Genomic DNA, 13,775 nt, shown 5'->3' on the forward strand with positions numbered 1-13,775 from the left:
CCAATGAAGCCAAATCCCACTCTCTCTCATCCACTTCCGGATGTGGCTACAGACTTCTGCCAGGATGGTGTAGAAAAACAGAAATTAGCTGGAGTAGAAATAACTATTTTTCTCTGCTCCTAAACTATTCCCAAATCTTTAAAACTCAGGGCTACCCATGAATCTTCAACTTTGAAACCACCCTTCAAGGCTCCTGAAGTGCCCAAGGGCTGAGCCCAAGCCTCTGCTCTCAGAAAAACAGGGATCACTTCAAAACCAAGTTCAGGCAGGGGGTGAGGGCCAAGCTCCCTTACTCGCATGAGCAGTTGACAGGGAAAGGCTGAGGACTGAACCGCTCTTTTCTCATGCATTCAAGAATGGCAAAGGCAAACAAATTGCTCCTATACTCATGGGTACCCAGATAGGAATCGATTGCAGCTCTTTTAAATAGGTCTAGGCAAAGGCAAAGACTGCTGGGCAGGAGAATGCTTCTCTTCAAGGGTATTTTCCTAGTTTAAGAGGTTCCCCCAGACTTCTGTTACATACACAGGGCATGCAAACACAGGCACTTTATTCACCCAACTACTTTGCATAATGTTTAAGAAGCAGCAATGAAATAGATCAAGGAGGGTAAACTTCCCATTTCCCTTTTAGCATCACTGCCAAGCAACTACCATGTGTCCCTATCAGAAATATGGCTCAGGGCCGGGAGTGGTGGCTCATGCCTGTAATCCCAGCACTTTGGGAGGCCAAGGCAGGTGGATCACCTGAGGTCAGGAGTTCGAGACCAGCCTGGCCAACATGGCAAAACCCCATTTCTATTATAAATACAAAAATTAGCCATGTGTGGTGGTGGGCACCTATAATCCCAACTACTCGGGAGGCTGAGACAGGAGAATTGCTTGAACCCAGGAGGTGGAGGTTGCAGTGAGCCAGGATTGTGCCACTGCACTCTAGCCTGGGTGACAGCGAGATCCTGTCTCAAAGAAAAAAAAAAAAAGATGGCTCAGGCAGAAATTTCTAACCATGGGCAGAAAACAGAGGTGCAATCTTCACCAGCTGGATTGGTCTGACACTGCCCAGCTGCTTGCTTTTGGCAGCTACCGCGTGTTTCTGCAGAGATAGGTAAGCAATTCCAGAATTGTCCTTGTTTTCTAGTTTCTCTACCCTACAAGGAGTACCTGCGAAGGCTCCACAGGTGTTGGATAGATGGCACTGCATGGTCTCTCTCTTGGTGACAGGCAAGAGTTTTCTCGGGAATGTTTGTGTTTGTCAGACAACAAAGGAGAAGCTGGGAAGAGAAGGAGAGAGAGGATCATCAGCATGGTAGTGGTGCTGCACCTGTTTGGAGGCGAGAGCCTGAACGTGTGGCAGCTGGCCACAGTTCCCAGGACTAGAAGGTTCTCTGGGCACCCTCAGTCTTCCCCACACTCTGGCACTGACCTCTGGCACTCGATGGAGCAGAACTTGTCACATTAGGTGAAGCCGAGTGAGTAGAACTCAAGCTTGAGGTAGATGGACTTGGCTGGAAACACACAGGGAGCTATTATCATACCCTGATTAAAGGCTTCCCACGACACTGACGTATTTGAAACAAAATCATCAACTTTTTTTCAAATTAGCAACAAAAAGTCCGTTTAACAATATAGAAAATCTTAATAACTTAGATTGACAAAGAAGTCTGCATGAATTAATGAAAAGTCTGAGATTTTGACTCCTGCCAAAGGAATGCCTTCGTGTTAGATTCAGCTATACACTGTGACTTCGTACCAGTTAGCAGTGCATTCCTTCATTGAGGTATAAGTAGAATGACTTCCAGCCTAGGGCCCAAAAACAGGCGAGTGCGTCTAAAAGGCATAAAATATGCCTTCTTGTTATCTGTACAAGTATGTTCAAAGCATGAATTTGGAAATAAGTGTTATGTCTCCTTTCCAAAGATAGTGGTGAGGAAAATTTCAGCTTAGTCTTACTGAACTATCATAAATGCCATATTAGTAGTGTTTAAATAAAATGTTTGCTTGCAGGAGTTATACTGGCTCTAAAATCCCTAAAAACTACATTTTTCTTGTATAAAAAAAATACCTTTGGAAACTTTCTGATATGTACATAAGTAAAGATAATTTTAAAACAGACCCTCAAATCATGTCTTTTTTTCTTTTTTCTTTGAGACACAGTCTCGCTTTGTTGCCCAGGCTGGAGTGCAGTGACATGCTCTCGGCTCACTGCAACCTCCTCCTCCCAGGTTCAAGCGATTCTCCTGCCTCAGCCTCCCGAGTAGCTGGGATTACAGGCATGCGCCACCATGCCCGGCTAATTTTTGTATTTTTGATAGAGACGGGGTTTCACCATGCTGGCCAGGATGGTCTCGAACTCCAGATCTCAAGGTGATTCGCTCACCTCGGCCTCCCAAAGTGTTGGGATTACAGGCATGAGCCACTGCACCTAGCCAAATCATGTCTTCTTAAAGAAAAAAAAAGCCATTTTGGAATGCTAAGAGGGGCCGGGCGCAGTAGCTCATGCCTGTAATCCCAGCACTTTGGGAGGCCAAATTGGGCAGATCACTTGAGGTCAGGAGTTCGAGACCAACCTGGCCAACATAGTGAAACCCCGTCTCTACTAAAAATACAAAAATTAGTCGGGCGTGGTGGTACACACCTGTAATCCCAGCTACTCACGAGGCTGAGGCACGAAAACTGCCTGAGCCCGGGAGGCGGAGGTTGCAGTGAGCCAAGATCGCACCACTGCACTCCAGACTGGGAGACAGAGTGAGACTCGCTAAAAAAAAAAAAAAAAAAAAAAAAAAAAAAAGGCAAGCTAAGAGGCAGCTAGTGAGTGGCAACACACTCTGAGAGTCCTGGACTGCAGAAGGAACTTGGGGCAGGTCTCAGAGCTGAACCTTGTGCAGCGTGCCTAGGCTTTTCCATCGCTTGCTGATGTCGTCTTAAAGCGATGGGGCAGTTTTAAGAGAAACGTCTTTGTAGACTCTAGAGACCCATAAAGCAAGAAGAGTGTTTAAAGGTTTGTCCTTAAGCCAAGTTCTTGCTTGTTGGTCTGTTCATCAGCACAGCAGAATGAACAGAAACACTCATGATTGAGACAGAAAAGGAATAAACACAACCAGACAAAAAGCTAATTAAGTACCTGCATGTTAAAGACTTCATCAGAGCTTTCTGATTGCCCTGTAATATTGCTTACTTCAGCAGAAGCTTGTGAGGACAGTGAGGAGGAAGAATATCGGTTGACAGCTGGGTAACTTAACGGGCTGTTTCAGGGGGAAAAAAAAGGTCATTAACTCAGTCTCCAAATTGTACTTTATCATGTGCTAGAATGCTATGAAACCAAAGGGGGGAAAATACATTCCGTTTTGTTTTCTCCTGTTTGCCTCAATATAATCAAATGTTTGAGTTTATTTATTTCTCATGCTGTTGCTGTTTTACTGGTGGCAGAGGTCTGCAGCTGCCTCGCGGGTTAGTTATTTCATTAAGAAATAGCGTATTTGACAAATTGTGCCATAAAGAATGAGAGAACCATTCCAGATCAGCTTGCGGGTGAGGCCAAATTGTAAGATAATTTGGAATATGACTTACCTGCGTCTAGGAATTACCCTGGTACCATCTGGGCTCACAGAAGCAGGTGCTGAGTTTCTACACACACGAGGGCTTCCATTAGGAAAATGGACAGGACTGGCTTGCATACAAGCAGAGAACTCCTAAAGATGTAGTAAAGGAAATATCTCATTACAGTAATGATTTGGGCAAAATAACTTATGAGACAGGTTAGCATACTAGGCACACATCCTAATTGCCATCAAGTCTTCACATAGGGAGCTATTAAAGCAAGTTCCAGTATTATTTGGCTTTCCCTCACTTACATTTGTGTTTTCCCAAAAGGAAAGCCTCGCAAATAGCAGACAAGGCAATTGTATTTGAGGGCTCCCTGGTAAAACAGTGCAGTTTGGTAGAAAAACCACAAGATGTCACTATTGGATACATCATCATCCCTTTAACAAGCAAACGGCAGTGATCAGGCTGCCCCGCCATGGACACCTAAGTATACATACCTGTATCCCTAAGCTCGACTTCATCACAAAGAATTGGTCAACCAGCTTTTTGTGAAGGGGTCTCATATCTTGAGGTACAAACTTCTCATGCACGGCCAAACCAAATTCCAGAATCTGTGCCTTAATTCACAACATAAGGAAAAAACCTCACATCAATGACTACCTCTCACTAAGTGCCTGCTATGGGCCGAGCACTTTACTACGCATTTCGCTTGCATTATTGCTAATCCTCTGCCTCTGACAAGGTAGGAACAGCTGTCACTTTACAGGTGAAGAAAAACTGAGGATCTGAAAAATCCTGCATGGATAAAAGACAAATGGGGATTAGAACTTGGTTCTGATTTCAGACTTAATTTTCCTACTCCCCCAGGCTTCTTTCCCATGTATTTTAGATCTATAATTATAATGCCTCGTAACAGTTATGTGTCCTTTTGGCCCCTTCCTTCTCTCCCCAGGGTGGAGAAGGAATAGGGGCATGTGCTGCTCACTGTTAAGAGGGCCGGCAATTCTCCCTTAAAGATCTCTTCTTTGCATGGCACCCTCTCCCCCCACATTTCCCTCTCCCACTAGGTTCCTCTGTGCTCATCCATCCCTCCCACAGACTTTCAGAATCTGCCAGGGAGGATGGAAAAAACAAAACAAAAAGGAATTCTATGACAGTTTCCATGCTTCTTGTTTTTGTTTAAAAAGATTATTCCTGGCCAGGCGCGGTGGCTCACGCCTGTAATCCCAGCACTTTGGGAGGCCAAGGCGGGTTGATCACAAGGTCAGGAGTTCAAGACCAGCCTGGACAACACAGTGAAACGCTGTCTCTACTAAAAATACAAAAATTAGCCAGGTGTGGTGGCACGTGCCTGTAGTTCCAACTACTCGAGTGGCTGAGGCAGGAGGATTGCTTGAATCCGGGAGGTGGAGGTTGTAGTGAGCCAAGATCATGCCACTGCATTTCAGCCTAGGTGACAGAGCTAGACTCTGTCTCCAAAAAGAAAAAAAAAAGAAAAAAGAAAAAAATCCCAAAAAACATTATTCATATTCACTTATAATTCAACGAGAGAGCAGGTCCTACTTAAAAAACTTTCCTGCAGTGAGGATCCGAAGAGATGAAGGTAAACATTCAACCTTCCTTTGTGCAACCATCAACAGTGTGTGATTCCTTTGATTCGAGCAGCAGCTGTCTTTTGTATTTTAAAAATGCCCCCCATGCTAACATGGTCAAAAGGACAAATTCCATAGACTGGGAGGAAAACGAATCCTATATCACCACAAGGTTTTGTTGTTATTGTTGCTATTTTTAATCTTTGCAGCTCGTGAAGATTTTAGGTTGAAAGCTCAGGTCAAACAGGACTGACCCTGGCGGGTTGGGGCATCCAGCACCTTCCCTAAGGGACGGGGCTCTGGATGCTGCCCACTGCCAGCATATTTGCATAACAAATATCAAGGATGCCTTTGAAAGGCACACTTGGAGTGCAGTGTGTATGAGGCATAAAGGGAGAGGCTACATCTGTGATGAGGACATGGAAGGGATGTAGGAGGTGGATCTAAACGCAGAGGCCCCCAGTCTTCTCCATTTTAAACACTAGCGTTGGGTGACTTCCCTTTTGTTCACAGAATGTTGCAAGTTGGGTTCTCTGGGAAGTAGACTCCAGCATGGATTTCATAATGTTTATCAGGGTGTACCTTGGGATTGATGCCTGTCAGGGGGAGGGACAGAAGCCGGACTTGACAAGAAAAGAAGTTGAGCTGCACAGCAGTCCTGTCAGCTACTGCCAAACCCAAGGGACCTCTGGAATGTTCTTAAAAATTTATCTGTATTTTAATCTTTTTAGAGACAGAGTCTCACTCTGCTGCCCAGGAAGGAATGCAGTGGTGTGATCATAGCTCACTGCAACCTCGAACTCCTGGGCTAAGGTGATCCTCCCACCTCAGCCTCCCAAGTAGCTGGGCCTACAGGCATGCACCACCACACCCAGCTAGTTTTTAGGTTTTTGTAGAGATGGGGTCTTGCTATGTTGCCCAGGCTAGTCTTGAACTCCTGGTGTCAGATGATACTCCTACCTCAACCTCTGGACCTTTAATGGTCTGTCAAAGTTGTCCTGTGTTGGTCCCAAATGGCCAGGCTTTCTATTGCTTCCTCAGTATGGGATGTGCACCACTGAGAAGGTAGCAACCTTGGGCCAAGTGGCTCTCTGCAGTGGAGGCAATCCCTGAAGGGCCTGACAGCTGGAGATGTCTGTTGAGAGCCACATTTCCTGCAGCTGAGGCAGAGTAAGTCTGTCCTGGAAGGAGCACTGGGGTGGTGCATGTCTCTGTCCTCTAGAGAGTTTATCTGAACTACTTTGCAGAGGTCCAGAGAAGGATGGTGCCCTCTCCAGTCCACCTCCCCACAGAGATGATGAGACTTGGCCAAGGGCACATTGACAGTCACGTGCACTGCTTGTCTTATAACAGAGATCTCACATTTTCTAGGCCATGGCTCTTTCCACAAGGTTTCAGGAACATAAGCAGGACGTAGAAGAAATAAAGGTTCCCTGGTTTTATTTTTCTTGGCAGTCTTCTTGACCCTGAGCTACCATTTAATTCTGGGGAAATAATTCAGTCAGGCTGAATCCAGCAGATACAGTCCTGGGGTGGAGTGAACCATTCATAAGAGGTAAAACACAGATCTTTAAAAATCAATGAAGGTTAAAGTCATTGCATAATCCTAAGTAATGGATGACCTCAACTGCTCACTTCTAGTATCTACAAACACCCAGAGTCACATTGAGAACTTGACTTATTCTTTATTTCCTTACAGATCAGCTTCAAGTAATTCTTCTCTCTCTTCTGTGGCCACCTCTCTCCCTGTAGTATTAGGTTTTGTGGACTAAGCCTACAGAGCATAAAAGATGGATGAAAACCAGACACGACCTCATTTTCTAATCCAAAGAGCATGCTTTACTTATTAATTTGGCATTATTGGGTAGAAAGAAATGCCTTTGTCATGTTTCATCACACATATTCCACTTTTCACAGGAAGCAAATGTCTTTATTTCCTGTTTAACACAGGCTTCCAACCATGTCTCCTACCTCAGAGGTTTTCAAACCATTTCAGGCTATCAATAGGGACACAGTAGGCAACAGATTACTCATTCCAGTTCTTTGTACTTGATGGTTCCAAATAAATAAACCACGCTTCTCTGGGGGTAGAAAATGATGAGTTGTATGTAGTTTTGTCCATATCATGTAACCTATAGGTTTACTTTGCAAAATATGACACTGCTTTAAAGCAAGATCTACTGATTGCCCACTTCCTTATTACAATGCTTAAGTAAAAATTTCATTCATGCCTCATATTTGGAGTTGGCCTGAACTTTTCTGAGCACAGAATTTTGAGTGAAAAGTTGGCATCGGCCAGGCGCGGTGGCTCACGCCTGTAATCCCAGCACTTTGGGAGGCTGAGGCGGGTGGATCACAAGGTCAGGAGATCGAGACCATCCTGGCTAACACAGTGAAACCCCGTCTCTACTAAAAATGCAAAAAAAATTAGCCAGGTGTGGTGGCGGGCACTTGTGGTCCCAGCTACTTGGGAGGCTGAGGCAGGAGAATGGCGTGAACCCAGGAGGCGGAGCTTGCAGTGAGCAGAGATCATGCCACTGCACTCCAGCCTGGGTGACAGAGGGAGACTCCGTCTTAAAAAAAAAAAAAAAAAAAAAAAAAAAGTTGGCATCAAGCCTACAGCAAGTCTCTAGGAAGAGAACATTCAAAGAATGTTTTAAGAGACCACATGAAGTTGTTTGTTTCACAGGTTGAACATCCCTAATACAAAAACTGAAAATCAGAAATCCTCCAAAATTTGAAGCCTTTTGAATGCCAACATCCCACAAGTGGAAAATTCCACACCCAACCTCACGTGATGGGTTGCAGTCGAAACTTCATGCACAAAATTATTAAAATATTATATAAAATGACCTTCAGGCTATGTGTATAAGATATATATGAAATAATAAATTTTGTTATTTGACTTGGGTCCCTCCCCCAAGATATCTCTTATGTATATGCAAATATTTCAAAATCTGAAACACTTATGGTCCCAAGTATTTTGGATAAAGGATACTCAACCTGTAACTGGCTGCCATAGTCTACTCATTGTTAAATTAATTTTTGCATCGGAGTGGGAAGAAGAAGTAGAAATTAGCAAGCTGGGATATATTACAGGAATCTGTCACCCTTGCTTGCCAGCTTCTGTTAGACCACTGATGCAGGAAACCATGCAGAGGGGGCTCTAGGTAAGCAAGCACATATCCAGGCAAAATAGAAGGGGGTTGGCTTCTGCTTCCCTTACCTGCTCAAGCATCAGCTCTCTTAATCGTGCAATTTTCTCCCCATCTTCAGGGTGACTTAAGATATATTCTTTGACAAAGAATGCCTAGTAAGGGAAAGGAGAATCAGTCTACTTTAGTGGAGTACAAGGCAAGTCAAAGACAAGTTGTTTTTAAAGACCTGGCATCTTTATGGAAATGACACCATTACAAACCACATTTTGGGACAGATGGGCTGATTACTAGTGTAGGTGGTTGGTCAGAATGGGAACATAAGGAAAGAATTGTTAAAGGAAGATCAGTGATTGTACAATAAGTACCCTTGCTAAAATAAAGAACAAGCCCAAATCAGTAAGCTATATGGCTTGTATCCTAAAACAAACTGCCTTAAGATTCAGTGTGACCTAGATGGTGGCCTTACCTTCCAGGGTATTATATCTTTCTGTTTAAGAGAGCAGATGAAAGGTCCACTTAAAGTATCATCTAAGCAAGATCGGTCTTATCTTTTTTTTTTTTTTTTTTTTTTTTTTTAAATAAGAGATAAGATCTTCCTATGTTGCTCAAGCTGGTCTCAAACCAAAGTGCTGGGATTACAGGTGTGAGCCACTGAGCCCAGCCCAGATCAGACTTTTCTATGCCCATGAACTTCTTTGCTTAGAGAAATTATTTTAGACGGATATTTATTAAACAGTCCTAATGTCCTTTCTACTTTTATTCATGCAAGAATGAACACACACACACACATTTTTATTATCCAAATATAACATGTTGGGAAAATGGAGTTACTGGGCAATTACAAATGACTGTATGTTTGCTCTATTTAACAAAGGACTCTGTGTCAATCGCAGCCCTATGTTTGCGTGCTGATATGGGTACATAGTCTGAAAAAAGATTCATGAAACCCTAAGAAGTCACAATTGAAAACTTTCTCTGAAACAACAATACCTAATCCTTACCTCTTGATACCTGGAAACGCCACCATTAACTGCAGCATCTATAACTCCATTCAGGCACATAGTCAGGGGATTAATATTCTGCATCTGTCTTGTCTGACACTGACTAATCAGAGTCTTCAGCTGCTGATTCTTATTTTCTAGCACTTCAATTGCATTTTCCAGAGGACTCATTTCTACCTGAGAAGCAAATGAACATAAATATATATTGAATTTGTGACATTCAAGAAGAAAGACAAAGTAGTTTATCCATGTTCTGAATTATCTGTGCTCCCCCTTGGCTTCCATCAATATCTCTACCAGGGGCCATTCCGTAGAATAGACAAGGATGTGGAAGTCAAGTGGGATGTTCATTAGCAAGGTTTGGAAAGGGCAGGTAATTATACTTATTCATTGAAATGTGGTTTGGATAATCATCAATTCTACATTAGCACTGCAACAACCAATTTAATCCTTAAAATAATATCCAAGCATCTCATGTCTTTTAAAACTAGTTTTTTTTTTCTTTTGAAGGGTTAAATATTCAGAGACCCTGAATATTATCCCCTTTCTCATGCTTATTTGATACAAAGCACCATGGGAGATATAAAGATGCATTTATGGATCCTCTGATGTCAAGGAGCTTTCAGCCCAGTTGGGAAGATGGGACATATGCCACATGAACCTCATATATATATATAACAGCACCATAAGGTGGCACAGGATGGCACACAGTTGGGAATTATAGAAAACAAGATAATATATACTGCAGGATCTATTTGTTGGAGAGCCAAATAGAATCATAATGACTTAAAAATTCCAGGCTGTATGGAGGACCTAATTGTGAAAATGATAAAAGTGCTCTTCAAATGTATGTCATTGGGACTGCTATTGCCTTGAAGAGAAGGTCTGCCAAGCTCTCAGCAATCAAGTAATTCAGGACTACAATTAGCATATTTAAATATTGGTTCATTCAGGCAAGGAAACAAATTAGAGTTTTTAAAGGTCACTTGGATCATCTTAAACCAACACTGAAAAATCCTAGAATATGAAGACTGAACATTCATCAAAGACAAAGAGAAGGGAAGATAAGCAAGAACATAGAAGATTTTGTAACATGTGTAACCATCAAAAAGCACGTGTTCAGGGTATATAAGGATTCTTAAAAACCAGGAAGAAAAAGGCAAACGACCCAATAAAAAATGAGCAAATGAATTAAACAACCACTTACAAAGGAATACATTCAAATGGCCAGTAAACAAATAATGAAAAGGTGTTGGGCCTCATTTGTGATCAAAGATGTGAAAAATACTGCTACAATAACATACTACTAAACACCCACTGAAATGGTAAAAATGACAACAGCAGATGAGAGTGAGACTGTGAGCAACGGACTCTCAATTACTGCTACTGGAAGTTCAAGTTGGTTCATTCACTTTGGAAAAACAGTTGAAGATATATATACATGTGTGTGTGTGTGTATATCGATTCAGAAATTCTAGGCATATAAGGAAAAGTGGGGTAGGAGGTTTGTGCACGTGTACCAGGAAACATGTACAAAAATGTTCATAATCTCCAAAATCCGTATGTCCATTGACAAGAGAATAAACATATTGTGATATGTTCATGGAATGGAATAGTATACAGCAATGAAACAAACTTCAATCACATGCAATAACATGGAAAAATATTACACACAACACTGAGTCAAATATGTCTCAATAGAACACAAGTAGTATGTTATATAACGTTCAAAACCAGGTAAAACCAAATCGACTTGTTTAGAGAGGCAAATAGGTGATACACTAAGCAAGGGAATGGATACCATAGAAGTCAGGATAGTGACTACTTTTATGGTGAAGATGGAGCTATAATTGAGAAGAGGTGCACAGGAGGCCTGCAGGATACTGCTGGCAATGTTCTGTTTCTTTACCTGAATGGTGGAAAACGGGTATTTACTTTCAGATTATTTGTAACACTAAACCTTTGTTTTATGTACACAAAACCTAAACCATAAAGGAAAAGTCTGAGAGCTCTGAGTAACTGAAAGTTAAAAAGTAAGCAAAACATCTTAGAACATAGAATGGTGGTTCCCAGGGTCTAGGGGAAAGGGGAGAGGAGAACTTCTGTTCAGTGAATATCGAGTTTGAGTTTTCCAAGATGAAAAACTTCTAGACATCTGTTGCACAACAATGTATATATAGTTAACACTACCATACTGCACACATAAAAATGGTTACAATAGTAGGTTTTATGTGCTTTTGGCTATAAGAAAAAAGCAATCTTCATCTTTATAAATTCAAATGCTATTAAAAATCAAATTTTCTAAAAGTAAATAAAACAAGACATAATAAACACAGGCAAAATACAAACGACTTGGAAAATATTTCCAACATGAAGGATAGATAAAATGTTAATATTTGCCAAATACTGAAGAAAAGGGGCAAAGGATATGATTGGTATAGAGTTCATCAATATATGAAAACATATCTTCACTTAGCATTCAAAAAATGCTGAAACAAAACATCCAACCCCAGTATAATTTTGGTCTATTATTTGGAAAGATTAAAATATACAACACTTAGTGTTGGAGAAGATGCTGGGGAAATAAGTATTCCTAAGACTAGTTATCCCCTCTAGACAGGGTGTAAACGATATATCCCATTGCTGAGCCATGAATCAGTGGTTACAGTGGGGATACTTTTGATTAATTCACTTCTAGGGAAATATAAGGGGACGGTCAAAGAAGTGTGCAAAGATATGTGATAGAGTGTTCACCAAGAATTACTTTCCTCTATCCTTCAGATTACAATCTCTAAATATTGTTCACCACTAAAATGAATAAGGAGTCATTGGAGAAATAGCTGCTTTCAGGTCTGGGGCAGGAGATGTTCAAGTGATCCTAGACCACCTCGTCTTACCAGGAAGGATGGTAAAGGTAAGGATGGGAGGAAAACATGAAAGTATCTGGCCTGTGATCCATTCATTTTCTTTACTGGGGAATGTCCTTAAGGGACAGAAAAGACAGGTGACTATGTCTTATCTCTTTGTCAATTGAACCTTCAAGTAAACAGACTAAAAGTAATTGCTAGGAGGAAGAGATGTTATCTACAGAATGCCCTAAAGTCCCCAGTCAAAGGATTTCTTTAAGTAAATAAATAAACCAGAATCCATGAGGCATGATTACAGAATGTCCCTGAGAAGCTTTACAACTAACTCTCTGGAGTAGAAAATGGAATGTTTCATAATCGACACTTCATAATTTAAACGTGCTTCTGAATGAGGAACCCTGTGAACCTCAGGGACTCCACCTATAATTCTGAATTATTACTGATGTGGGGAAGAAGGACCTAGCAGACGATGTGTAATGTCTCAGAAATCTCGCTGCTTTATCTGAGCATCCTGCCTGCCTTGAAATTACTAGTAAAGCTTGATGCTGGGAGGGGTCGCTGAGTCCTGCATCGAACTTGACAATCAGATCCTGTGTGTTAGCTCAGTAACAAACACTACTTGGATACTGTGAAAACAGACTCAGGAGCCATTTTGAAGATGCTCCCAACAGGCAAAGATGGAACATTTTTAAATTTAATAACTGCCATGGATTAAAACAAAACAAATATACTTATATCCATGAGTTACTAATGATCCAAAAACCAACCAAACAAAAACCCCTCCAGTCGCTTTTGTAGAATACAGCATTATCTTTCCTGTACCTCAGGGTAATCAAATATTTAGTGAGAGGACATTTCTCTTTACAGAGTATTCCAATGAGTAAATAAACATGAAATAAAATATCACCATTTTGCAACCCATAAAAGATTAATGGATCTGGTCAATGATCACCAGTGGCTGCCAACATCACACACACACACGACAACCAGTAGCACATAACACCAAGTATGAAGTAGTCTTGTGAAAATAAAAGCAAACATTTTATCAAGTCTCTAGTTCTAACTACCAATTTACAAGGAATACAGGTGACAGAGAAACATGTTATATGACTTCACTGGGATGCAGTCTGCAGAATCCACACATACGGAAACATTTCAGGATAAACAGTCTTTAGTTTCTTCAATAAAAAAATAAGGAAAGTGATGCAAGGGGAAACTTACAGATTGAAAGAGACTTAGAAGACATTTCAATCAATTGCAATGCATGGCCCTTATTTAAATCTGGATTCGAATAATAGAGTAAAAATATTTTTTTTTTTTCTGTTTTGAGACAGTCTCACTTGTTCTGTTGCCCAGGCTGGAGTGCAGTGGTGCAATCTTGGCTCACTGCAACCTCCACCTTCTGGGTTCAAGCAATTCTCCTGCTTCAGCCTCCTGAGAAGCTGGGATTACAGGCGTGATCCACCATGCCCAGCTACTTTTTGTATTTTTTGTAGCGACAGGGTTTTGCCATATTGGCCAGGCTGGTCTTGAACTCCTGACCTCAAGTGATCTGCCTGCCCTGGCCTCCCAAAGTGTTGGGATTACAGGTATGAGCCGCCATGCCTGGCCTAAA

The 13,775-nt window shown here is 41.6% G+C and overlaps 1 protein-coding gene across 14 annotated transcripts in view, besides 1 other annotated feature; it reads right to left on the reverse strand.

Moving 5' to 3' along the window:
* Positions 1-13,775, reverse strand: part of DOCK4 (dedicator of cytokinesis 4) — a 480,290-nt gene that overhangs the window by 11,864 nt on the left and 454,651 nt on the right. For 10 of the 14 annotated variants that reach the window (NM_014705.4, XM_006716189.3, NM_001363540.2 and 7 more), the window contains 7 exons: positions 9,294-9,470; positions 8,361-8,444; positions 4,040-4,159; positions 3,567-3,688; positions 3,121-3,241; positions 1,423-1,504; positions 1,161-1,270 (listed from right to left, as the gene is read on the reverse strand). In NM_014705.4, the coding sequence (NP_055520.3) occupies positions 1,161-1,270; positions 1,423-1,504; positions 3,121-3,241; positions 3,567-3,688; positions 4,040-4,159; positions 8,361-8,444; positions 9,294-9,470 (816 nt within the window). The remainder of the gene's footprint in view (positions 1-1,160; positions 1,271-1,422; positions 1,505-3,120; positions 3,242-3,566; positions 3,689-4,039; positions 4,160-8,360; positions 8,445-9,293; positions 9,471-13,775) is intronic. The other 4 variants (XM_047421081.1, XM_017012825.2, XM_017012821.2 and 1 more) reach the window with 1 other exon arrangement.
* Positions 4,906-5,547: an enhancer, noted in NCBI's record as "NANOG hESC enhancer chr7:111382935-111383576 (GRCh37/hg19 assembly coordinates)". NCBI's record gives its function as "activates a minimal SCP1, AML or CMV promoter by ChIP-STARR-seq in naive H9 embryonic stem cells {active_cell/tissue: H9 hESC(naive)}" and the evidence as "EXISTENCE:reporter gene assay evidence [ECO:0000049][PMID:30033119]".

The sequence above is a fragment of the Homo sapiens genome, chromosome 7 (assembly GCF_000001405.40).
Source record: "Homo sapiens chromosome 7, GRCh38.p14 Primary Assembly".
NCBI lineage: Eukaryota > Metazoa > Chordata > Mammalia > Primates > Hominidae > Homo > Homo sapiens.